General features: G+C 41.3%; 2 protein-coding genes across 13 annotated transcripts in view, besides 1 other annotated feature; one reads left to right on the top strand and one right to left on the bottom strand.

The window, feature by feature from the left end:
* The window catches only part of ZNF567 (zinc finger protein 567), a 60,573-nt gene extending 59,519 nt beyond the window's left edge, over positions 1-1,054 (bottom strand). For all 3 annotated transcript variants that reach the window (NM_001387762.1, NM_001387761.1, NM_001387760.1), the window contains exon 1: positions 857-1,054. The gene's annotated coding sequence lies outside the window, so the exon portion shown is untranslated. The remainder of the gene's footprint in view (positions 1-856) is intronic.
* Positions 845-974: an enhancer, noted in NCBI's record as "active region_14530". NCBI's record gives its function as "activates an Ori minimal core promoter by ATAC-STARR-seq in GM12878 lymphoblastoid cells {active_cell/tissue: GM12878}" and the evidence as "EXISTENCE:reporter gene assay evidence [ECO:0000049][PMID:35858748]".
* ZNF461 (zinc finger protein 461) overlaps positions 1,151-26,494 on the top strand; it is a 30,220-nt gene continuing 4,876 nt past the window's right edge. Inside the window, exons 1-5 of one of the 10 annotated variants that reach the window (NM_001322823.2) lie at positions 1,151-1,298; positions 3,202-3,290; positions 9,563-9,652; positions 11,445-11,540; positions 24,126-24,194. In NM_001322823.2, coding sequence (NP_001309752.1) covers positions 9,610-9,652; positions 11,445-11,540; positions 24,126-24,194 — 208 coding nt within the window. In that variant the 5' untranslated portion in view covers positions 1,151-1,298; positions 3,202-3,290; positions 9,563-9,609. The other 9 variants (NM_153257.5, NM_001322828.2, NM_001322825.2 and 6 more) reach the window with 9 other exon arrangements.

Below are 26,494 nucleotides of genomic sequence, written 5' to 3'. Positions count from 1 at the left end.
AGCCTGGGCAACAGGGCATGAAGACCCTGTCTCAAAAAGAGGCCGGGCGCGGTGGCTCACGCCTGTAATCCAGCACTTTGGGAGGCCGAGGCGGGCGAATCACGAGGTCAGGAGATCGAGACCATCCTGGCTAACACGATGAAACCCCGTCTCTACTAAAAATACAAAAAATTAGCCGGGCGAGGTGGCGGGCGCCTGTAGTCCCAGCTACTCGGGAGGCTGAGGCAGGAGAATGGCGTGAACCCGGGAGGCGGAGCTTGCAGTGAGCCGAGATTGCGCCACTGCACTCCAGCCTGGGCGACAGCGAGACTCCGTCTCAAAAAAAAAAAAAGAAAAAAAAAAAGTTGAGTGAAATATATGACGTACAGTTTTTTGTTGTTGTTGTTGTTTGTTTTTTCTTGCCCGGGCAACAGGGCAAGAAGACTCTGTCTCTAAATAAATAAATAAATGGAGTCAAATATATGACATACAGTTTTGTTTGTTTGTTTGAGAAGGAGTTGCTCTGTCGCCCAGGCTGGAGTGCAATGGCGCGACCTCGGCTCACCGCAACCTCTGCCTCCCGGGTTCAAGCGATTCTCCTGCCTCAGCCTCCCGAGTAGCTGGGATTACAGGCATGCGCCATCACGCCCGGCTAATTTTGTATTTTTAGTAGAGACGGGGTTTCTCCATGTTGGTCAGGCTGGTCTCGGTGATCCGCCCGCCTTGGCGTGAGCCACCGCGCCCGGCCAAAAAAAAAATTTTTTTTTAAATCGTTTCACATACAAATCTCACGCGCTACACCCTCACCGTCAGTTCATATCCACCTTCTCCTCCGGAGTCACCTTCGGACACGCGCACAACAAAACACCTTTCTCACCACAACTCCACAAAGGGAAGCCGGGTTAGTCCGCGCCCGCCGAAAATTATCTTCAGCCACAGCCCGCGGAGGCCGCCTTGAGGGGTTCGGGGCAGCCACTGTGCCTATTCCGAAATCCGTCCTCAGCGGAACCCGAAGTCCAGAATCCGAAAACGAACATTAACAGGTTGGCGTCACTCCAGCCTCGGGTGAAACTGCGCAAGTGCATCCCGGAGCCCGGCGGAACACACCCGCTCCACCCCAGGCGCTCTCCCCTCGGACTGCATTTCCCAGAGGACACTGCTGTCCACAGCTACTTCCGGTAGGAGCCTCGCAGGAATGGTCTCCGGGTAGAGGCAGGTAAGGATGTCCCGGGCCGGTGGAGAAGGAAGAGCTGGGCGTGTGGCTTCGCTTGGAATCCGAATCAGAGCTTGGACCAGAGCCTTCCCTGAGAATGCTGAAGGTAAGAAATCCTGGCTCACCAGTGCCGCGGAAGGGAATGTCTATAGTTTTAGGCCTCTGAGTGCGGGATCAGCCCTTAGGTGGGTGTGTTTTGAATGCGTGAGGAAGTAGGGTTTCTCTTTGGGCTGTGTGTTACTGTTGGGACAGCGACCTGGTGCGTGGGTGTGCTTTAGTGACAGTGTGATTGTGTGCCTGATCATTTGTGTAAATGGGGTTTGTAGGTGACTGTGACCATGATTGTGAATGGCTATTTGTGTAAATCTCATTTATTTACGTGAAAGAAAAAGCACATTTACAGGCCGGGAGCGGTGGCTCACCCCTGTAATCCCAGCATTTTGGGAGCCCGAAGCGGGTGGATGCCCTGATGTCGGGAGTTCGATACCAGCCTGGCCAACGTGGAGAAACCCCACCTCTACTAAAAATACAAAATTAGCCGGGTATGGTGGTGCATGTCTGTAATTCCAGCTCCTTGGGAGGCTGAGGCAGGAGAATCGCTTGAACCCGGGAGGCGGAGGTTGCTGTGAGCCGAGATCGCGCCATTGCACTCCAACCTGGGCAACAAGAGTGAAACGAAACTGTCTCAAAAAAAAAAAAACAAAAAAACATTCACGTTATCCTCAGGCTCACACGATCAGGCAGAGAGCTTCCACTCCTCTCAGTCAACTCTGGTCTCTCACACACAGACACACGCACATTCACCTCACCCCGCTCCTGTGCACACATCTAAGGCTCAGGACGCCCCACTCCAGAGATCTGTCATTCATCCATCTCTCATCCTTTCCTGACTACTTGAGGAGTTAGCTGTAGATTTACACACACAACACAAGCGAAAATCACATTGCTACCCCGCATTTATCATTACAGCCTCAGAAAAACACCACATATGTAGTATGCTTATGTACCTATGTGTTTGATTTTTTTTTTCTGAGATTTGGCCACAATACACATTGTTCTGCAACTTCCTTTTTTTTTTTTTTTTTTTGAGACGAAGTTTCTCTCTTTCACCGTGGCTGGAGTGCGGTGGCGCGATCTCGGCTCACTGCAACCTCCGCCTTCGGGTTTTAAGCAGTTCTCCTGCCTCAGCCTCACGAGTAGCTGGGATTACAGGCATCCGCCACCACACCCAGCTAATTTTTGTATTTTTAGTAGAGACGGGATTTCACCATGTTGGCCAGGCTGGTCTTGAGCCCCTGACCTCGTGATCCGCCCGCATCTGCCTCCCAAAGTGTTGGGATTACAGGCGTGAGCCACCGCGCCCGGCCTCTGCAACTTCTTACTAAAAGATATTTATGTCCTTTTGTCTGTATTCAAAGACAAACTTAAGAATATTTTTCAGGATGTTTCCAGGTATGATTCTTCTTTAATTCTTACAGCACTGTACTTCAAACTAAAGACTCAAGAATTTATTTTGGTCTGCAAATTTTTGTTCTATTTATTTTTTCTCTTCCATCTGTGTTGTTTCAGCCTCTATTTTTGAAATTTCTGTTACACATACACTGGGTCTTTTGGGTCTGTTTTCTGTTTCCCTAATCTTTTCTCATAATGTTCATTACCTTTTCTTTTTCCTCTTAATTCAGTGAAAATCTACCCAGTGCAGTTCTCAGCACCCTGATCCTGGCTTCGATTTCATCATAGTATTGGGACAATGGGCTGGCCTAACTATCCCTTCTGCTGAAGGGCATGATCCTTGCTTTTCTTGAGTCTATCCTGCTGTAGCTGAGTTTCCTCATGGTTTTGAGTAAAGCTAGGATTTGTCCAAATTCCCACTAATAATTTATGTATGTATGTATCAGGTCTGGGAATAGGAGATATGAAGGGGGAAGAAAAATGTCATTCTGAATTAACATTTTGGGAGCTTAGAGGCAATAATCTCCTGTCTTTTTTTTAACTCCCCTCTCTCCCAGCAACACCTTCTTTGGATTGAGTTTCTTCCAGAGGGAACGAAGAAGAGGATTAAATAATACATTCAATTCTAAAATAAGACATGGCCCATGTAAGTTGGTTTTTTCTTGCTCCTAATTACAATACTTGATTTTTTGTTTGTTTGTTTTTGTTTTTTTTGTATAGGGCATGTGACTATTTGCTTTTTTTTTTTTTGAGACATAGCCTCGCTGTCTCCCAGGTGGGAAGGTTAGAGTGCAGTGGTGCGAACTTGGCTCACTGCAGCCTCCACCTCCCAGGTTCAGGCGATTCTCCCACTTCAGCCTCCCAAGTAGCTGGGACAACAGGCACGTGCCACCACACCCAGCTAATTTTTGTACTCTAAGTAGATACGGGGTTTTGCCAAGTTGGCCAGGCTGGTCTCAAACTCCTGGCCTCAAGTGATCTGCCCATCTGAGCTTCCCGAAGTGCTGGGATTACAGGCATGAGCCCCTGCGCCTGGCCTGCATTATTTATTCTGACATAGTTTCTTACCTGGGAATTATACAATAACTTACTAGTGAGTAAGTGACGGTGCCAGAATTTCAGGGCCTTCATTTTTGCTCCTCTCATCTCCAACTCATGTTCATATACTTGTTGAATAAATGATTCTTCATCTCCCTTACGTGAAATCTTTTAACAGACACAAGGAGAGAACACAAATAATATTGTTTTGAAGAAAATATTAGTGTTTCTCTTGTCAGAACTTTGATTTGATGAGGTGATTAACGAATATTTATTGAGTACCTACTATGTGACAGGCATTCTTCTAGGTAACGGAATAAATCAGTGGGGAAAAAAATATCACATACATACATATCTTCCCTTCTGAAGCTTAACTGGTAGTGAGAGACAGAAAATAACTTATGTATAGTAAGACTTCCCAGATATATGCAGAGAGAGTGAGCAAGACAGAATTAACAAAATAATCACATGATAAAAGCCAGGCACGGTGACTCACGCCAGTAATTCTAGCACTTTGAGAGGCTGAGGTGGGAGAATCGCTGGAGTCTGGGAGTTCCAGACCAGTCTAGGCAACATAATAAAACTCCACCTCTACAAAAAAAATTTGTGTTAATCAGCTGCTTGTGGTTGTGTGCACCTGTAGTCCTAGCTACTCGAGAGGCTGAGGCTGAAGTGGGAGGATCACTTTATCCCAGGAGTTTGCGGCTGCAGTGAGCTATGATCACACCACTGCACTCCAGCCTGGGTGACAAGGCAAGACTCTGTCTAAAAAAAAAAAAAAAAAAAAAATTACATAATAAAGTTAAGACCAGAGAGCAAACATATATACCTTATTAACATATGCAAATGGGGTTTAACTCATCTATTAAAAGACCTTTCAGATTGAATTACAAAGAAAAACCCAGACACCTGAGTGATTCACTGATTTAGAAAGGTTAAGAAAAGGATGGGCGAACAACTATACCAGGCAAATAGAATGAAAAGAAAACAGGACTGGGCATGGCAGCTTATGCCCATAATCCCAGCACTTTGGGAGGCCAAGGCGGGAGAATTGCTTTAGGACAGGAGTTAGACCAGCCTTGCCAACATAGCAAGACCCTGTCTCTACAAAAAAAGACAGAATAAAGAAAACAGACTAAGTAAGATTCAGGCCACATCACAGAATTAAACATGGCAGAAAGACATTATATACTTTTAAAGTATAAATTTCAAAATGAAGATATAACAGTTCTGAATATATATTGAATATCATAGCATTACCTCCTAAAGTAAAATTTAGAGCAGATAGAAGAAATAGACACTTACCAGCAGTAAGAGACATTAATTCACTCTTCTCAGTCCAAACCAGGCCAAGTAGACAAAATTTAATAAGGAAATAGAAGTACTAAATCACATACTGTATCAGATCTATATTATTGATATATATATTAAATTTGGTATCCTGATAATTGTTAATATTCATTCTTTCAAGTGGCTGTGGAACATTCACTAAAAAATGACAAAATCTGAGGCCACAGTAATATCCAGTAATTAGAAATGATAATGTTGCCTGAATATAGTGAAATACAACTAGAATTTAATAATAAAATCAGAGAAATAAAGCTAATTTTATCAAAAGTTTATAAATTATGTCTTAATAAGTATGGGAACAAAGAGGAAATATAATCTAAAAGTAAAGAATTTTTAGTAATCAATGATAGCATTGCATATTGAAACAAGAAACAAATGAGATTTAGTTAAAGCAGGACCCTGGCCAGGCACAGTGGCTCATGCCTGTAATCCCAGCACTTTGGGAGGCTGAGGCGGGCGGATCACGAGGTCAGGAGATGGAGACCATCCTGGTCAACATGGTGAATCCCCATCTCTACTAAAAATACAAAAATTAGCTGGGTGTCGTGGTGCGCATCTGTAATCCCAGCTACTCGGGAGGCTGAGGCAGGAGAATCACTTGAACCCGGCGGGGAGGATATTGCAGTGAGCCGAGATCCTGCCACTGCACTCCAGCCTGGCGACAAAGCAGGACTCCATCTCAAAAAAATTAAATTAAATTAAAAAGCAGGACCCTAAGGAAAAATCATAGCTTTGAATGCTCCTACCAAAAAGAGTTAAAATATATGAATTAGAAATACATGGAAATAGCTAGGCTCGGTGGCTCATGCCTGTAATCCCTGCATTTTGGGAGGCTGAAGCGGGCGGATCACCTGAGGTCGGGAGTTCGATACCAGCCTGACCAACACAGAGAAACCCCGTCTCTACTAAAAATACAAAATTAGCCAGACGTGGTGGCACATGCTTGTAATCCCAACTACTCAGGAGGCTGAAGCAGAAGAATCACTTGAACCCGGGAGGCAGAGGTTGCAGTGAGCCGAGATTGTGCCATTGCACTACAGCCTCAAAAGAGCGAAACTCCGCCTCAAAAAAATAAATAAATAAAAAAGAAATACTTGGAAATGTGGAAAGAATTTACAAAGATAAGAAATTATATGTGTTGGAAAACAGGAAAAAATGTCTAGTTGCTTTTCCTTCCTTCCTGTGATCTGAGTTTCCATCCTGTATCATTTCTCTTTAGCCTGAAGATCTTCCCTTAGTGTTTCCTGTAGTTTGGGTCTTTGGTGACACATTCTCTCAGATTTTATTATGTAAAAGTGACTTTATTTCATCTTAATTTTTAATTAATTTTTAAGTTTTAGTGTCAAGGCAATGCTGGCTCTATAAAATAAATCAGGGAATATACTGTAGTTTGACCACTTAAATTTAATGTAATTAGCAATATAGTTAGGTTTTACTCTACCATCTTGTCATCTGTTCTTTTTAAATTTTTTTTCCTGTTTTCCTACCTCGTCTTGGATTAATCTTATTTTTTTAGTATTTAATTTTATCGTCACTATAGGATTATTTGCTATATCTCTTTGTTTTGCTGTTTTAGGGGTTAAGGTTTGCAATGTGCTTTACACTATTCAAGTCATTTTAGAACACTTCAGGTATAATGTAAACATATTACAATTGGGTACTCTTTTTTTTTTTTAAAGAGACTGGGTCATGCTCTGTTTCCCAGGCTGGATTCCAGTGGTGTCATCATAGCTTATTGCAGCCTCGAACTCCTAGGCTCAAGTGATCCTCCTGCCTCAGCCTTCCAAGTAACTAGGACTACAGTTGTGTGCCACCACCCCTGGCTAATGTTTTAAATTTTTTTGTAGAGATGCGATCTCGCTTTGTTACCCAGGCTGGTCTCAAACTCCTGGCCTTAAGCAATCCTGCCTCCCTGCAGTGGCTTACTGGGGTGAGCCACTGCGCCAGACACAACTGGATACTTCTATTTCCCCTTCCCATCTTTTTTATTGTCATATATTTTATTTCTAAATTTGCTTAAAGCATATATTTCTTTCTTTAGTTGATTATCTTTTAAAGAAAGTATTAAATGAAAAGAGTAGCTTATGTATTTACCCCTATGTTTACTATTTCTAACACTCTTTATTCTTCTATATAGACTGAAGATTTTATCTAGTATCAATTTTTTTCCACCTGAAGAATTTCCTTTTACATTTTTGTAGCATAGGTGTTCTGGTGACAAATTCTTTCAGCTTTTGTTTGTCTTTTTTTTTTTAAAAAAATCAACTATTTCACCTTCATTTTAAAGGATTTTAGCTAGGTATAGAATCATAGGTTTTGAAGATGTTTTGTTTTCAGCATTTGAAATCACTGAAAATAAAGATTAGTAGTATTAGAGTTAGTGATACTGAGCCAGGAGCTAAAATTCCTGAGGGGCAAAAACCTGCATGTGAACACATCACTGCAACAGAGAGGGATAATACATGGTATAGACTGATGAAATGTGACATTAAATTTTAGAGAAGGGGCCCAGGTGCAGTGGCTCATGCCTGTAATCCCAGCACTTTGGGAGGCTGAGGCAGGTGGATCATTTGAGGTCAGGAGTTTGAGACTAGCCGGGACAAGATGGTGAAACCCCATCCCTACAAAAAATACAAAAACTAGCCGGGTGCGGTGGTGTGCACCTGTAATCCCAGCTACTCGGGAGGCTGAGGCATGAGAATCACTTGAACCCAGGAGGCAGAGGTTGCAGTGAGCTGAGATCATGCCACTGCACTCCAGCTTGGGCAACAGTGATATTCTGCTTAAAAAAAAAAAAAAAAAAAAAAGATTTTAGAGAAGGAAAGACAGTTGTCTGACACCAACAATGAGAAACAAGGATGACAGTGGTACGAAGGCTGTGGGAGAAAAAAAAAGCCACCACTTGAGGTGTCCTCAGGGAATGAATGGTTAATTAAATCACACGTGGGAAATCTTTGAAATTCACAATTTGGGATTTTCCAGTGAGATGTGATAGGAATTGGTGTTGGATGATCTCACTGAGCAGAGAGACTTTGCTGTGTGAGGCTTTAGAATTAGATGGAGATAGGATTAGTGCTTGCATGGAAAAATTGGAGATCTTGCCAGAAAATATATGATCACCAATTACAAACTCCGGTTTTAGATTGAACAGCATATGTTAGACTTGGGCCACATCTATGAGAGTCTGGATCATTCTACATTAATATTCTTTGGGAACACAGTAAATATACAGGGAGAGGTGGTGGATGATAACAGTTAAGACCTCTCAGGTGTGATTGCAAAACAATGGAATATGTACCTTAGAAAATACCGTAGAGATTTTGTTCACTCCAGAGATTCAAGTTTAAGAGAATTATTAAATCTCTTGTTGTAAGATTAAATGAGGCTAGGTGCAGTGTCTCATACCTGTAATCCCAGCACTTTGGGAGGCCAAGGTGGGAGGATTGCTTGAGCCCAGGAGCTCAAGACCAGCCAAGGAAATATAGTGAGACCCTGTCTCTTAAAAATGTTATGCTACCAATGTTATGCTACCAATAAAAATCATATTACAGTTACAATAACTATTTCCAGATAATAAACCAACCCAAAATTTAGTAGATTAAAACAACAATCATGGTTGGGCTTGCAAATCCACAATCTGAGCAGAGCTCAGTAGGGATCGCTCAGCTCTGTTCCATGTGGTATCAGCTGAAATGGTCTGATTGGGAACTACATGACCCACTTTCAAGATAGTTCCCTCACATGGTTTGCAAGCTGTTGCTGACTGTTGTTTGGGGAGGCTTGGTTCCTTTCCTCATGAGCTCTCCCATGGAGAGCTTGTTAGGCTTCCTAGGAACATGGTGGCTGGGTTTCCAGAAGGAACATCCCCAGAAAGTAAGGCAGAAGTATGAGACGTTTTTGTGATCTAACCACAGAAGTCACATAATCACTTCTGCCGTATTCTATAGGTTGAATAAGTCACAGATGTCCTTTCAGGTTCAAGAGAAGGGGGCACAGACCTTTACGCCAATTGGAAGGGGGATGTCAAGGTTACACTGAAGAAGAATATTTGGGATGCAAGATACAGCAGTGTCCATCTATGGAAAATATAGTCTGCACCAGATGTGTACTAAAGAATTTGCAGGAAAACTAAAAATGCCTATGGCATGATAGTCATAATCATGAATAAAAATCTTCAAGTTCTTTTTCTCAAGATAGAGATTTTAATAAGACATTTTGGAAAGATTTAAAAGTTTTTGACTATTTAATTTAATTGGGAGCCTCTACTTATTTTCTTAGTTTTGAGATGACTGATTAACAGGAGTTTCCCACCTACACAAGAAGATGTGTCTGCAGAAAATGAATTGTTTAAGAACATATGGGCACTCCGCTTCAGTCACACTAAATTCCTCTTTGACCCATGTCCCAGGCTTAGCCTATATATTCAGTAGACTGTCTCCTTCCTTGCAGTACCTTCTTTTAGCACTTCTCTTTTCTTTTTAAAAACATTTCTTATAATTTCAAAAATAGTACTATTATTTGTCATTTTAGGAGTTGGTGATGTTCAGAGATGTGGCTATAGATGTCTCTCAGGAGGAATGGGAATGCCTGAACCCAGCGCAGAGGAATTTGTACAAGGAGGTGATGTTGGAGAATTATAGCAACTTGGTGTCACTTGGTAAAGTTATCTAAAAATTAAGAACCTGACAATTCAGAATTCCGCTAACAATTCACAATCTACTTCTTGGAATTTCTGCTTTCCCCCCTATTAATTTAGGGCTAGCTTTCAAATAACTGGATGAATTTTCTCTTTATGTATTGTAGAAACCAGCACAGCTAAATGGAGGTACATTTTCATTTTCCCCATCCTTACACGTTCTTTTGGTCCTTTCTTATAATAACTCCTCCTTGATGTTTAAGGGGCAGAATTGGAAATCTGCAATGTTAAAGCATAACACTGTCAAAGAAAGCAGACTCTGTCTTTTGTTTCACTTCCACTGTGCTAAATCTGCTAGTGTACTAGCATAAGATTAAAACTAGACACATGGGTTCCAGGAGTGAAGCTTTTTTCTTTCCTGGGTAATAGAGTGATAGGCTGGAGTAATAAAGGTTCATTTACTATTCTCAAATGAGCACCACTCCATTTCCTATAATAAATGTAATCTTTCACTTTTTATTTTATTTATTTATTTATTTTTGAGACGGAGTTTCGTTCTTATTGCCCAGGCTAGAGTGCAATGGCGTGATCTCGGCTCACCACAACCTCTGCCTCCCAGCTTCAAGCAATTCTCCTGCCTCAGCCTCCCGAGTAGCTGTGATTACAGGCATGTGCCAACACGCCTGGCTAGTTTTGTATTTTTAGTAGAGATGTGTTTTTTCCATGTTGGTCAGGCTGGTCTCAAACTCCCGACCTCAGGTGATCCACCTGCTTCGGCCTCCCAAAGTGCTGGGATTACAGGCATGAGCCACCGCACCTGGCCTTTTTAATTTTTTTTTGAGACAGAGTTTCACTTTTGTTGCCCAGGCTAGAGTGCAATGGCATATCTTGGCTCACTGCAACCTCTGCCTCCCAGGTTCAAGCAATTCTCCTGCCTCAGCCTCCTGAGTAGCTGGGATTACAGGTGCCCGCCACCACGCCCAGCTAATTTTTGTATTTTTAGTAGAGACAGGGTTTCACCATGTTGGCCAGGCTGGTCTCGAATTCCTGATCTCAAGTGATCCACCCGTCTTGGCCTCCCAAAATGCTGGGATTACAGGTGTGAGCCACCGCGCCTGACCTGTACTCTCTTTTAAGTGATTTGCCTTTGGAAGTTATTTTTAAAGAACTTTGTACAGTTAACATTAAAAAAAAAAAGGAGGCTGGGTGCTGTGGCTCATGCCTGTAATCCCAGCACTTTGGGACGCTGAGGCAAGTGGATCACCTGAGGCCAGGAGTTTGAGACCAGCCTGGCCAATATGGGCCAAACCCCGTTTCTACTAAAATACAAAAATTAGCCAGGCAGAGTGGTGTGCGCCTATAATCCCAGCTACTTAGGAGGCTGAGGCAGGAGAGTCACTTGAACCCGTGAAGTGGAGGTTGCAGTCAGCCAAGATTGTGCCATTGCACTCCAGCCTGGACAACAAGAGCAAAACTCCATCTCAAAAAAAAAAAAAAGAATAAATATCTCAAGAAGCTTCTTTTTTTTCCTCACAGCAAAAAAGAGAAACCTTACATAAATTTAAGTACTATTTTATCGCCTGTTTGTTTGCTTTGTTTGTTATGATCCTGTGTTCATCTGAATATGAGTGTTTCATCTCTTCTCCTTTATTTCCTCTGTATCCCTTATCAAGTACCATTTTTATCTGTGATTTATTTTTATTTTAATCAGTTCTAAATCACTGTATTTGGATACATTCATTTCCATCTCATCTCAATTTCTTTTCTTATAACTAGGACTTTCTGTTTCTAAGCCAGCCGTAATCTCCTCATTGGAGCAAGGGAAGGAGCCCTGGATGGTTGTGAGGGAAGAGACAGGAAGATGGTGCCCAGGTGAGTGAGCAAGCACAGGAAGCTCTTGCAGAGAGCAGGCCAGCTGGTCAGAATGTTGGGCTGGCAAGTTTATTTTAAACCAAACTTTGGGAAAACCTGATTTCAAAACATATTACAAAGATATAGTAATCAAACAGTGTGGTACTGGCATAAAGATATTCTAGGCCGGGCGCGGTGGCTCACGCCTGTAATCCCAGCACTTTGGGAGGCCGAGGCGGGCAGATCACGAGGTCAGGAGATCGAGACCACGGTGAAACCCCGTCTCTACTAAAAATACAAAAAATTAGCCGGGCGCAGTGGTGGGCGCCTGTAGTCCCAGCTACTCGGGAGGCTGAGGCAGGAGAATGGTGTGAACCCGGAAGGCGGAGCTTGCAGTGAGCGGAGATCGCGCCACAGCACTCCCGCCTGGGCGACAGAACGAGACTCCGTCTCAAAAAAAAAAAAAAAAAAAGATATTCTAAAGGAATAGAATAGAAAGCCCAGAAATAAACCCTTGCATAAATAGTCAAATTATTTTAGACAAGGGTGCCAACACTTCCATGGAGAAAATTGGATTATCCACAGGCAAAGGAATACAGTTGTACCCTTGTCTTACACCATATAGAAAAATTAACTCAGAATGGATCAAAGACCTAAATGTGAGAGCTAAAGCAATAAAACTCTAAGTAGAAAATATTGGAGAAAAGCTTCATGACATTGGATTTGGCAATGATTTATTGTGTATAATACCAAAAGCACTGGCAACAAAAGCAAAAACAGACAAATGGGACTACATCAAACCTAAAAACTTCTGTACATCAAAGGACACAATCTATAGTGTTTATTAATTTTTGTTTGTTTGTTTTGAGACAGGGTTTCACTCTGTCACTCAGGCTGGATGGAGTACAGTGGTGCAAACTCAGCTCACTGCAACCTCTGCCTCCCTGGCTCAAGCAATCCTCTCACCTAAGTTTCCTGAGTAGCTGGAACTACAGGCCCATGCCACCATGCATGGCTAATTTTTTAATTTTTTGCAGAGATGAGGTCTCACTGTATTGCCCAGGCTGGTCTCGACCTCCTTAAGCAATCCTCCCACCTCAGCCTCTGAAAGTGCTAGGATTACAGGCATACACCACTGTGCCCAGCCTGCTTATTAGTTTTTTAAAAGATTCAGGCTGGGCTCAGTGGCTCACACCTGTAATCTCAGCACTTTGGGAGGCTCAGGTGGGAGGATTACTTGAGCTTAGGAGTTTGTGACCAGTCTGGGCAACATAGCAAAAGCCCTGTCTTTACAAAAAATTAAAAATTAAAATATTCACCAGGCATGGTGGTACATGCCTGTAGTCCCAGATGTTCAGCAGACTGAGGTGGGAGATCACTTGAGCCCAGGAGTTTGAGGCTACAGTGAGCCAAGATTGTACCACTTTACTCCAGTCTAGGTGACACTGCAAGATGCTGTCTCTAAATAAATAGATAAAAGATCCATACAAGTTGCTTTGCTAGGTGATGGGAATACATTTTTAAAGTGTTATAGAGACGTTTTCAATCTAACAGGGGATCAACAATACATGGATGGATGTTCTAATAGAATCACTAGGCAAAAAAATAGTGTTGATCAGAAATTAGGAAAGTTAGAGAAAGTAATATATGACTATATTGAGGAGGTAGAGATGGCAGAGGGATGATTGAGAAGGAAGGAGATCAACCAGGAAAGTTTGGGGTGCTATAGACCAAGGGCAGATCCATTCTACAGGCTAGAGTTCTTTGATGATGTCTGTGATTCATTGAAGTGCTATAGGCTGAACATGGTGGCTCATGCCTGTAATCCCAGCACTTTGGGTGGCCAAGGTGGAAGGATTGCTTGAGCCTAGGAGTTTGAGACCAGTCTGGGCAATATAGTGAGACCCTGTCTGTACCAAAAAGAAAAAAAAAAATTAGCCTAGCATGGTGGCATGCTACCTGTAGTCCCATCTACTCAAGGGGCTGAGTTGGGAGTATTGCTTGAGCCTGGGAGGTCAAGGCTGCAGAGAGCCATGATTCTGCCATTGCACTCTAGTCTGGGTAACAGAGCAAGACCCTGTCTCAATCAATCAATCAATCAAGTGCTACAGAACTGTGAGAGAATACATTTGTGTTGTTTTAAGCCACCCAGTTTGTGGGACTTTGTTAATGGCAGCCCTAGGAAACTAATAGAGAGGAATCATGGAAAAATGGTACATATTCTCATACATATTTTAATGTAAAGATAACATTCCTTTACCAGTTTTTTTATACCTGGGTAGGCCTTTTCCTTGGCATGAATTTTCTTTAAAAAAAGACTTTTTATTTTGAAATAATTATGGATTCACAAGAGGTTGCAAAGAAATGTACAGGGGAGTCCTGTGTACCCCCTTTGCAGCTTCCCCCAGGGTTAATACCTTACCCAACTATAGTACAATACCATACCAAAAAATTGACATTGCTGCAATTCATAGAACTTACTCAGATTTCACCAGTTATACATGCACTCATTTCTGTGTGTATATTTATAGCTCTATGCAGTTTTATCACATGTAGCCTTGTGTCACCACCACAATAGCCAAAATACTCAACAATACCTCACAAGACTCCCTTGTGTTAGCTATACTTATCCCATTTCTCTTTTTCCTAACCCTTGTGATATTGTTTGGCTGTGTCCCTTCCCAAATCTCATCTTGAATTGTAGGCTGCCATAATTCCCACGTGTTGTGGGAGGGACCAGGTGGGAAATAATTGAATCATGGGGGCACTTTCCCCCATACTGTTCTCGTGGTAGTGAATAAGTGTCACAAGATCTGATGGTTTTATAAGGGGTTTCCCCTTTCGCTTGGCTCTCATTCTCTCCTGTCTGCTGTCATGTAAGATGTGCCTTTGCTCTTCCTTTGCCTTCTGCCATGATTGTGAGGCCTCCCCAGCCACATGGAACTGTGAGTCCATTAAACCATTTTCTTTATAAATTACCCAGTCCTGGGTATGTCTTTATCAGCAGCATGAGAGCAGACTAATACACCTTGGCAACCACTGTTCTGTTCTCTGTATAATTATGTAATTTCATAAATGTTACATAAATAGAATCCTGCAATACTTGTCCTTTGGAAAATGGCTTTTTTCCTTTTATTTCATATACACATACACATATATATGGGTTTTTGTTTTTTACATTCATGTACAAACTTGTACATGAAAACAAGTCTTCATTTGTTTATGATAAATGCTCAAGAGTGTAGTTGCTGGGTGGTGTAATAAGTCCATTTTTAGTTTTTCAAGGAGCTGCCAAATTATTGTCAACAATGTTTGTACCGTCTTACATTCTTAACTGGCAATGTATGTGTGATCCAGTTTCTCTAATCATAGTCAGCACTTGGTGTTCTAATTGTTTTTCATTGTAGCCATTCTAATAGGTGGGTAATTATATCTTATTGTGGTTTTAATTTTGAATTTCCTTAATGGCAAGTAATGTTGAACATCTGTGTGTGCCATCTGTCTATCCTATTTAGTGAAATGTCTCTCCATGCCTTTTGCCCATTTTCTAATTTGGTTAGTTTTATATTGTTGAGTTTTCAAAGTTCTTTTTGTATCTTAGACAGAATGCCTTTGTTGGATTTATGACCTGCAAATATTTTCTCCCAGTCTGTAATTTGTCTTTTTTTGAGCGGTAGCAAGGTTTATCGTGAAGAGCGAAAGAACAAAGCTTCCACAGCATGGAAGGGGACCCCAGCGGGTTGCCCTGTAATTTGTCTTTTTATCCTTTTAACAGGGTCTTTGCAGAGCAAAAGTTTTTAATTTTGATGAGGTCTAGTTTATCTTCTTTTCTCTTATGAATTGTGTTTTTGGTGTGTGTATGTGTATTTAGTGTCACGTCTAAGAACTGTTTGCCTACTCAAAGGTCCTTAAGATTTTCTCCAATGTTCTTTTTTAGAAATTTTATAGTTTTTGTTTTTTTTTTTTTTGAGACGGAGTCTTGCTCTGTCACCCAGGCTGGAGTGCAATGGGGCAATCTCAGCTCACTGCAACGTCCACCTCCCAGGTTCAAGTGATTCTCCTGCCTCAGCCTTGCAAGCAGCTAGAATTACAGGCACGTGCCACCACACCCAGCTAATTTTTGTATTTTTTTTTTTTTTAGTAGAGGCGGGGTTTCACCATGTTGGCCAGGCTGGTCTCGAACTCCTGACCTCAGGCGATCTGCCTGCCTCCACCTCCCAAAGTGCTGGGATTACAGGCATGTGCCACCGTGCCTGGCCAGAAATTTTATAGTTTTACATTTTTCATTTAAGTTCGTGGTTCATTTTGTGTTAATTTTTGTAAAGTTGTGAAATTTAGATCAAGGTTCTTTTTTTTCTATGGATGCCCATAGCATTTATTTAAAAGTTATCCCTTCTCAAGTGAATAGCTTTTTCACCTTTGTCAAAACTTAGTTGTGCAAATTTGTGTGGCTCTCTTTCTGCATTCTCTGTTCTGTTGCATTGATCTTTGTGACCATCTCTCTTTTAGTGCCACCTTTCATGATGGCTGCAGTTATACAGTAAACCTTAACATTGGAAGGAGTGATTCTTCCCACTGTGTTGTTTTTCATAATTATTTTGGCTATCCTTAGGACCTTTTTCTTTCCATATAAGTTTTAGAAAAGCTTGTCTGTATCTACAAAAAATTTGCTTAGATTTTCATGGGAATTGTGTTAAGCCTATAGATGAAGTAAGAGAGAACACCTTTATTCTATTCAGTCTTCCAAAGCATGAACACAGCGTGCCTCTCCAAATATTTTTGTTTTCCTTGATTTCTTTTATTAGCATCTTACAATTTTCATCATACAGAATCTGTACAAGTTTTGTTAGTTTTATACCTAAGTATTTCATTTTCTTTGGAGCATTTGTAAATGGCATTGCATTTTTATATTGGAGTGTAGTTAATTTTATATATTAATCCTATATTTTGTGATCTTACTCAACTTGCATATTAGTACTAGTTTTTTTTTCTTAGAGATTCCTACTTATAAACAAATTATCGACAAATAGATAATTTTCTTTTTATTTCATAATCTATGCCTTTTATTTCTTTTTCTTGCCTTATTGGAGTGGCAAGAACTTCTAATACTATGTTGAATAAGGGTGGTAAAAGTGGACATCCTGTGTTTTCCCCATTTTGAAGGGAAAGCATTCAGTCTTTTAACATTATGTATGATGTTAGCTCTAGGAATTTTTTTTTTTTTTTTTTTTTTTTCCTGAGACGGAGTCTCGCTTTGTGCCCCAGGCTGGAGTCCAGTGACGCAATCTCAGCTCACTGCAAGCTCCGCCTCCCAGGCTCACACCATTCTCCTGCCTCAGCCTCCCTAGTAGCTGGCACTACAGGCGTCTGCCACCATGCATGGCTAATTTTTTGTATTTTTAGTTGAGACGGGGTTTCACTGTGTTAGCCAGGATGGTCTTGATCTCCTGACCTCGTGATCCACCCGCCTCAGCCTCCCAAAGTACTGGGATTACAGGCGTGAGACACCACGCCCGGCCAGCTCTAGGAATTTTGTAGATACTTTATATTATAAGGTTGAGGGAGTTCCCCTCTCTAATGCTCTGGGAGGTTTTTTTTTTTTTTAATATGAATGAGTATTGATGTGATCATGTTATTTTTCTTATTTATCATATTTATATAATATATTACATTGAACTGTTTTTAAATATTAAATTAGCTTCTTATACCTAGAATAAATCCCACTTAGTCATGGTATATTATGCTTTTTATTCATTGTTGGGTTGGATTTGATTTGCTAAAATTTAGTTAACAATTTTCTCATTTAAGTTCATGAAAGATAATTGATTTGTATTTTCTTTGTTGTGTCACCCTAGTCTTGTTTTGGTATCAGAGTAATACTGGCCTTATAAAGTGAGTTGAGAAGTGTTGTCTTTTCTTCTGTTTTCTGGAAGACGTTGTGTAAAACATCACATGAATGTTTAGTAAACTTCTCCAGAGCAACTGTCTGAACCTAGAGATTTCTTTTTGGGAGCTTTTTAATTATAAATTCAATTTATTTAATAGTTGTAGGACTATTCAGATTGCCTATTTTATCTTAGTAGAGTATTGGTAGTTTGTGATTTTCAAAGATTTCGTCCATATCTTCTAATTTGTTGAAGTTATAAGTATGAAGTTGTATGTGGTGTTATTATTCTGTATATTCATATATATAAAGGATGTATATATGTACTTATAGTTGTTTTGAAAATTTTTTCCTTTGAGACTCCCTCTTTGACTCATGGATTCTTATTATTATTATTTAATTTTTTTGTTTTAAGACGGAGTCTCACTCTTTCACCCAGGCTGAAGTGCAGTAGCAATCTCAGCTCACTGGACCCTCCGTCTTCTGGGTTCAAGTGATTCTCCTGCCTCAGCCTCCTGAGTAGCTGGGATTACAGGTACCCACCACCATGCCTGGCTAATTTTTGTATTTTTAGTAGGGACGGGGTTTCACCATGTTGGTCAGGCTGGTCTCAAACTCCTGACCTCATGATCCACCCACCTTGGCCTCCCAAAGTGCTGGGATTACAGGTGTGAGCCACCACGCCCAGCCAGATTATTTTTTAAATACTTTTAATTGAAAAATACAAATTGTATGTATTTATGGTCTACAATATGTTTTGATATATGTATATGTTGTGAAACGATTAAATCTAGCTAATTAACATATCTGTTACCTGACATGCTTCTTTTTTTGTTCTTCCACAATAGTTATCTTATAAACTTATTTTTTTGTGTGTGGGAGAACATTTAACATCTACTCTCCTAGAAGTTTTTAAGTTTACAGTACACTGTTTCAGCCAGGCGTGGTGGCTCAGGCCGGGCGCAGTGGCTCACACCTGTAATCCCAGCACTTTGGGAGGCTGAGGAGGGTGGATTACCTGAGGTCAGGATTTCAAGACCAGCCTGGCCAACATGGTGAAACCCCATCTCTACTACAAATACAAAAAATTAGCTGGGCACAATGGCCCAGCCTATAATCCCAGCTACTCAGGAAGCTGAGGCAGGAGAATTGCTTGAACCTGGGAGGCAGAGGTTGCAGTGAGCCAAGATTATGCCATTGCACTCCAGCCTGGGCGCCAAGAGTGAGACTCTGTCTCAAAAAAAAACATAAATAAATAATAAAATATACTGTTTCAAGAGAATTTAAAATTGATTGGCAAAGCCTTTTTGTGAAGCATGTTTTAAAGTCTTTGTCAGATAATTCCAACATGTGCTTCATCCTTGTATTTGCATTAGTTGATTGCCTTTTCTCCTTCAGATTTTGGTTTTCTTGGTTTTTGGTATGAGAAGTGATTTTCAGTTGTACCTTGGATATTTTCGTTATTATGTTTCAGAGAGTCTTGATTCTATTTAATCAATTTGAGCAAGTAGTTATCCTGTTAGATTTAGTAAAGATCTGATCTACTTTTGTAGGCTTTAGTTCCAATGACAGTTTAGTTTTCAGAACCATTACACTGCTATTCTGATCTGCTCCATACTTCTTGTGCTGCTGGGGCCAACAGGCACATGAAGAGATGTTCAAAATCACTAGCCATTAAGGAAATGCTAGTCACAACCACAATGAGGCTGGGCACGGTGGCTCATGACTGTAATCCCAGCACTTTGGGAGGCCGAAGCAGGTGGATCACTTGAGGTTAGGAGTTCGCGATCAGCCTGGCCAACATGGCGAAACCCCGTCTCTACCAAAAAATACAAAAATTAGCCAGGCATGGTGGCATGCACCTGTAGTCCCAGGTACTTGGGAGGCTGAGGCACAAGAATCACTTGAACCTGGGAGGCGAAGGTTGCAGTGAGCTGAGATTGCACCACTGTACTCCAGCCTGAGTGACAACGAGACTCAGTCTGAAAAACAAAACCAAAAACGAAAACAAAAACAAACAAACAAAAAAGCACACAATGAGATATCACCTCACACTCAATAGGATGGTTAATTTAAAAAAAAAACATAACAAGTGTTGCCAGGAATGTGGAGAAATTTGAACCTTTGTGCACTATTGGTGAGAATGTAAAATGGTACAAGGTATTAGATCATTCTTGCATTGCTGTAAATACCTGAGACTGGGTAATTTGAAAAGAGGTTTAATTGGCTCATGGTTCTGCAGGCTTTATAGGAAGCATGGCCCTGCTCAGCTTCCAGGAAGGCCTCAGGGAGCTTTTATTCATGGTGGAAGGCAAAGCAGGAGCAGGCACTTTACATGGTGAAAGCAGGAGCAAGAGAGAGAGTGGGGGGCGTGGGGAGGTGCCACACATTTTCTTTTTTTTTTTGAAACGGAGTTTCATTCTTGTTGTCCAGGCTGGAAAGCAATGGTGCAATCTCAGCTCACTGCAACCTCCACCTCGGTTTCAAGCGATTCTCCTGCCTCAGCCTCCCGAGTAGGTGGGATTACAGGTGCCTGCCACCACACCCAGCTAATTTTGTATTTTTAGTAGAGACACAGTTTCACCATGATGGTCAACCTGGTCTTGAACTCCTGATCTCAGATAATCTGTCCACCTCGGCCTCCCAGAGTGCTGGGATTACAGGCATGAGCCACCACACCCAGCCCACACACTTTCAAGGACCAGATATCATGAGAACTCACTCACCATCATGAGGATAGCACCAAGGGAATGGTGCTAAACCATTTATGAGAAAACCGCTCCCATAATCCAGTTACTTCCCACTAGGCCCCACCTCCAACACTGGGGATTACAATTCCACATGAGATTTAGAGGGGACACATATCCGAGCTATATCATACAGCCACTATGGAAAACAGTATGGTAATTTCTCAAAACATTAAAAATAGAATTGCCATATAATCAAGCAATTCTACTTCTAGGTATATACGCAAAAGAATTGAAAGTAAATTGAAAGTGGAATTTTAAATTAGAATGTTATTTATTTATTTATTTTTTGCTTTTTTGAGACAGAGTCTTGCTCTGTCACCCAGGCTGGAGTGCACTGGCGCATCTCAGCTCACTGCAACCTCCACCTCCTGGGTTCAAGCGATTCTTCTGCCTCAGCCTCCCAAGTAGCTGGGATTACAGGCACCCACCACCACACCCAGCTAATTTTTGTATTTTTAGTAGAGACAGGGTTTAACCATGTTGGCCAGGCAGGTCTCAAACTACTGACCTCAAGTGATATGCCTATCTCAGCCTCCCAAAGTGCTGAGATTACAAGCGTGAACCACCACACCTGGCCTAAATTAGAAAATTGTTGCATAATGTCAACTACAGCTGAAGAAATTTATATCCTATGATGCAGCAATTTCACTCTGATGTGCATACCTAACAGAAAAGAGTAATTATTTCCACCAAAAGAAATGTACAGGAATGTTCATAGCAGCACTAATCATAATAGTCAACTATTGGAAGCAACCAGAATGTCCATCATTAGGTATATGGGAAAATAAATTGTGTTAGAATGCAATGCTATATATAGTTATCAGTCTCAAACTTTTTATTCTCAGGATGCCTTTATATTCTTAAAAACTATTGAGAACCCCAAGAGCTCTTGCATATGTAGATTATATCCTTCAATATTAACTGTCTTAGAAATTAAATCTAGGAAAAATGAAATATTCATTTAATTCATTTAAAAATAATAAACTATATGTTAACATAAATAAGTTATATTTTCCAAAACAAAACGAAAATAGTTATTGTGAAAAGTGGCAATGTTTTTCATTTTTTGCACGTTTCTTTAATGCTTGGATTAAAAGAAGACACGTGGATCTCACATCTGCCTCTGAATTTAATCTATTAAATTAAAACTCACTAGTCTGTCTTGTTTTTTGAATGGATCTCTTATCTGTGGTACCTGTTTTGTAACATGATGCATTAGTTATTTGGAAAATATTGCTCCAATTAGTTATGCAGATCTTCCAGACTTTGACACATTTTCTTATAAAATAGCCAAAAAATCATACTTGTTAATAACACCACGAATCTAATCAGGTAAGTCTTTAAGTATTTGGAAGCTGTCAAGCTCACAGGGGCTGACACAAACTTTCCTAAAGTCTAATTTTGACCAGGTGTGGCAGCTCATACCTCTAATCCTAGCACTTTGGGAGGCAGAGGAGGGTGGATCACCTGAGGTCAGGAGTTCGAGACCTGCCTGGGTAACATGGTGAAACTCCGTTTCTACTAAAAATACAAAAAATTAGCCGGGCGTGGTGGCACACGCCTGTAATCCCAGCTACTGGGGAGGCTGAGGCAGGAGAATAGCTTGAACCTGGGAGTCGGAAGTTGCAGTGAGCTGAGATCACACCATTGCACTCCAGCCTGGGCAACAAGAGTGAAACTCCATCTCAATCAACAACAATAACAACAACAACAATAACAACAACAACAACAACAACAAAATAGTCAAAATCTGGCCAGGCACGGTGGCTCACGCCTGTAATCCCAGCACTTTGGGAGGCTGAGGCGGGTGGATCATGAGGTCAGAAGTTCCAGACCAGCCTGGCCAACATAGTGAAACCCTGCCTCTACTAAAAATACAAAAATTAGCCGGGCATGGTGGCTCACGCCTGTAGTCCCAGCTACTCAAGAGGCTGAGTCAGGAAAATCGCTTGAACCCGGGTGGTGGAGGTTGCAGTTAGCTGAGTTCGCTCCACTGCATTCCAGCTTGGGAAACAGAGCTAGACTCCATCTCAAAAAAATAAATAAAATAAAGCTTCAGTTATGCAAGATGAGTGGATTCTGAATATCCACATTCAGACTCCAGAATATTATGACTCTAGTTTGCAGTACTGTATTGTATATTTGAAACGTGCTGAAGGTACATGTTTTTTTGTTACCACAAAAAAAAGAAAACAGTTAACTATGTAAGGTGATGAATAGGTTAGTTAGCTGACTGTGGTGATTATTTCACAATGTAAATGTATATCAAATCATCAGGTTGTATCCTTTAAATATATAAATTTTAATTGTCAATTTTCCCTCAATAAAGTGGGAAATAAAGTGTTTCTCAAAAAATACTCAGTGTTTCTCAAAAACAAATATTGAGAAATTTAACTGTGGATGCTATAATTAATATTTATTTACATTGGTGCTGTATGCTAAGAAATAGAAAAAAGTATTTATTAAATATGTAAACACTTTAAAAAATTTTCTTGTGTTGTAAATACTTTACATGAGATCTACCCTCTTAATGGAATTTTAGGTGTACAATGCAGTATTGTCCAGTGTGGGCACAGGGTTATACAACAGATCTTTTTTGTTGTTGTTGAGACAGGGTCTCACTCTGTTACCCATGCTGGAGTGCAGTGGAGTGATCACAGCTCACTGCAGCCTGGACCTCTCAGGCTCAAGCAATCTTCCCACCTCAGCCTCCCAAGTAGCTGGGACCACAGGTACACACCACTACACCCAGCTACATTTCTATTTTTATTTTTTTTTAGTAGAGACAAGGTCTCACTATGTTGTCCAGGCTGGTCTCAAACTCCAGGACTCAAGTAATCCTCCCATCTCAGCCTCCCAAAGTGCTGGGATTACAGATGTGAGCCACCACTCCAGGCCAGATTTTTTAATAATAAAAGTAGTCTCAAAAAATAAACCTGGCCAGGCACGGTGGCTCACACCTCTAATCCCAGCACTTTGGGAGGACGAGGTGGGCAAATCACTTGAGGCCAGGAGTTCAAGACCAGCCTGACCAACGTGGTGAAACCCCGTCTCTACTAAAAATACAAAAAAAATTAGCCGATGTGGTGGCATGTGCCTGTAATCCCAGCTACTTGGGAGGCTGAGGCAGAGAATTGCTTGAACCCGGGAGTCAGAGGCCGCAGTGAGCCGAGATTGCGCCACCGTACTCCAGCCTGGGTGACAGAGCAAGACTCCATCTCAAAAAAAACAAAAACAAAACAAAACAAAAAAAAACACAAAAAACTGGCTGGGCGTGGTGGCTTACGCCTGTAATCCCAGCACTTTGGGAGGCCAAGGCGGGAGGATCACCTGAGGTCAGGAGTTCAAGACCAGCCTGGCCAACATGGTGAAACCCCATCTCTACTAAAAATACAAAAATTAGCCAGATGCGGTGGTTCACGCCTGTAATCCCAGCTATTCAGGAGGCTGAGGCAGGAGAATCGCTTGAACCTGGGAAGTGGAGGTTGCAGTGAGCCAAGATCGCACCATTGCACTCCAGCCCGGGGGACAGAGCGAGACTCCATCTCAAAACAAAACAAAAAACCAATATCCATTTTCAAGTATAAGAAATACATATTCTCTGCTGGGTGTGGTGGCTCACACCTGTAATCCCAGCACTTTGGGAGGCCGAGGTGGGCGGATCACCTGAGGTCAGGAGTTCAAGACCAGCCTGGCTAAGTGGTGAAACCCCGTTTCTACTAAAAATACAAAAAATTAACCAGGCATGGTGGCACGTGCCTGTAATCCCAGCTACTTGGGAGGCTGAAGCAGGAGAATCGCTTGAACCCAGTAGGCGGGGGTTGCAGTGAGCTGAGATTGTGTGATTGCACTCCAGCTTGGGCAACAAGAGCGAAACTCTGTCTAAAAAGAAAAAGAAATAGATATTCTCTTTTTATTGTATAATAAAATATTATTCTAAAATGAAGTATTTATTCTTTTGTTTCCATGTAGGTACATGGAAAACTTGGGGATTTCACAATAATTTCTTGGACAATAATGAGGCTACAGACATAAATGCAGGTATAAATAAATACAGTTTTTAAGAGTACAGTAGAAGTACTGGTAACAAAGTCAGCTAATTTCTGAAAGTACATGTTTATTCCCCAAACCTACTACTCTAGAAACTTCTAGAACACACAGAAATACATAATCACGCATTCTGTTAGATTTCAGAATGTGACGTTATCACACTTCTAGTAGTCTCTCAGAATCTCTCCTGTCCAGTGGTAAGAGAATAAGTAAAAAAGGCAAATGTCTCGGAATTAGTATGAAAATAGCTTTGACCTTATAGACTTCCTGATAGGGTCTCAGGTACCCTCTGTGGTCCTTGGACCACCCATTGAGTACTGCTGCTATATAGTAATGAAAATTAAGAAACTACTACTATTTGTAATATTACAAATGAACCTCACATGTGGTACTGGACAGAAGATGCTGGAGAAAAAAGTACCTCCTATATCATTCCATTTATTGGAAATTCAGAAATAGACAAAAACCACTGCATAGTGTAAGAAGGCAGGATATCGCCTACCTTTGGTGGGTAAGGTAAACCTGGGAAGGGCCTTGAAGGCTTGGGGTTTCTGGTAATGTTCTGTTTCTTGGTTAAGTGGTGGTTTCACAGGTATGTTCACTTAGTAAAAACATCGTCTGTAAGGAAGTGATGTAGAAAAGTGTGTGTTTGTGTTTATATCTGTACATAAATAAGTATGTGTATGAGTGTAGTGGTTGTTGTAAACATGTCCGCTGGCCGAGTGCGGTGGCTCACACCTGTAATCCCAGCACTTTGGGAAGCCAAGGCGGGTGGATGGCCTGAGGTCGGGAGTTCGAGACCAGCCTGGCCAGCATGGTGAAACCCCATCTCAACTAAAACTACAAAAATCTCAACTAAAAATACAAAAATTACAGGTGGTGAGCACCTGTAATCCCAACTACTTGGGAAGCCGAGGCAGGAGAATCACTTGAACCCAGGAGGCGGAGGTTGCAGTGAGCCGAGATCGCACCATTGCACTCCAGCCTGGGCTACAGAGCAAGACTCTGTGCCCCACCCCCCCCCACCAAAAACACACACACACACCATGTCTGCCACTTCTGTGCTTCTGTGACAGTCCTCAAACCAAAAAAAAAAAAAAAAGAAGTCTAACTTCCTGCTTTGAAAATGGGACAGCCCTAAGTGAATTGTTTCCAATAAATAGAAATACTTTGTGATTTCTGAGGCTAGGTCATAAAAGTAGACAGCTTGTGCCTGGCATATGCTCATATGCCCGCCCTCCCTGCCTGCACTTCCCCATATGCTTTTGGAGTCTGGAGTTGCCAGGTAAGAGGGCATCTCTTACCTTGAAACAGCTATGCTGGACACACCATGTAGAGAGACCACATAAGGATAGAAAGCCCCAGGCATCACAGCTGTTACAGTCCCAAGCTTTACATATTTCCTCAGGCCTGGTACCCGACATGTGGGTGGAGGAAGCCATTGGAATGATCCAGCCTGACCAGTGTGTGACTGTCACTAGAGAAATGCCAAGTAAGGAATGCCTGGCTGAGCTCAGTTAATCCTCAGGACTGAAAGACAATAATGATAAATGGGTCTGGTGTGGTGGCTCGTGCCTATAATCTCAGCACTTCGAGGGGCTGAGGCAGGAGAATCACTTGAAACCAGGAGTTCAAGACCGGCCTGGGCAACAAAGTGAGAGCCTTTTCTCTACAAAAAATGATTTAAAAATTAGCAGGGCATAGTGGCACACCCCTATAGTCTCAGCTTCTCCAAAAGCTGAGTGAGGTAGGAGGATTTCTTGAGCTCAGGAGGTCGGGCCTGCAGTGAGCTGTGATTGCACCACTGCGCTCACTCTCGCCTGGGTGACAGAGCATGACTTGGTCTTCACTAATAATTACAACAGCAATAGTAATAATAATAATAAATGACTTACTGTTTTAAGCCACTCAGTTGGAGTGGCTTGTTATAGATAAGCAAGTACATGGTTTATTTATGTATGTGTTTATATATAAAATCAGTGCAGTCGATGTAGGAGTGAATAGAAGCATGGAGAGATGTTCAGTAGTTATTACAAATTTAAGGGCATTAAATGATTATGATTGTCAATTGTTATCTTTGTATTGTTTCTCTTCATCTTAATTCCTTTTCCTTAATAATTCATTCATTCAGCAACTGATTATTGAATACTTATTATATTGTAAAGGTTGTTTTTATAGTGATTTCTCTATCCTTGAGTAGCTTTATGGGTAAAAAAACATATATATATATTATATATATATATATTTTGTTGTTTGTTTGTTTGTTTCTGAGACAGTCTTACTCTGTTGCC

Source organism: Homo sapiens, chromosome 19 (genome assembly GCF_000001405.40).
Source record: "Homo sapiens chromosome 19, GRCh38.p14 Primary Assembly".
Classification (NCBI taxonomy): domain Eukaryota; kingdom Metazoa; phylum Chordata; class Mammalia; order Primates; family Hominidae; genus Homo; species Homo sapiens.
This window is presented reverse-complemented; position numbering and strand designations above follow the sequence as displayed.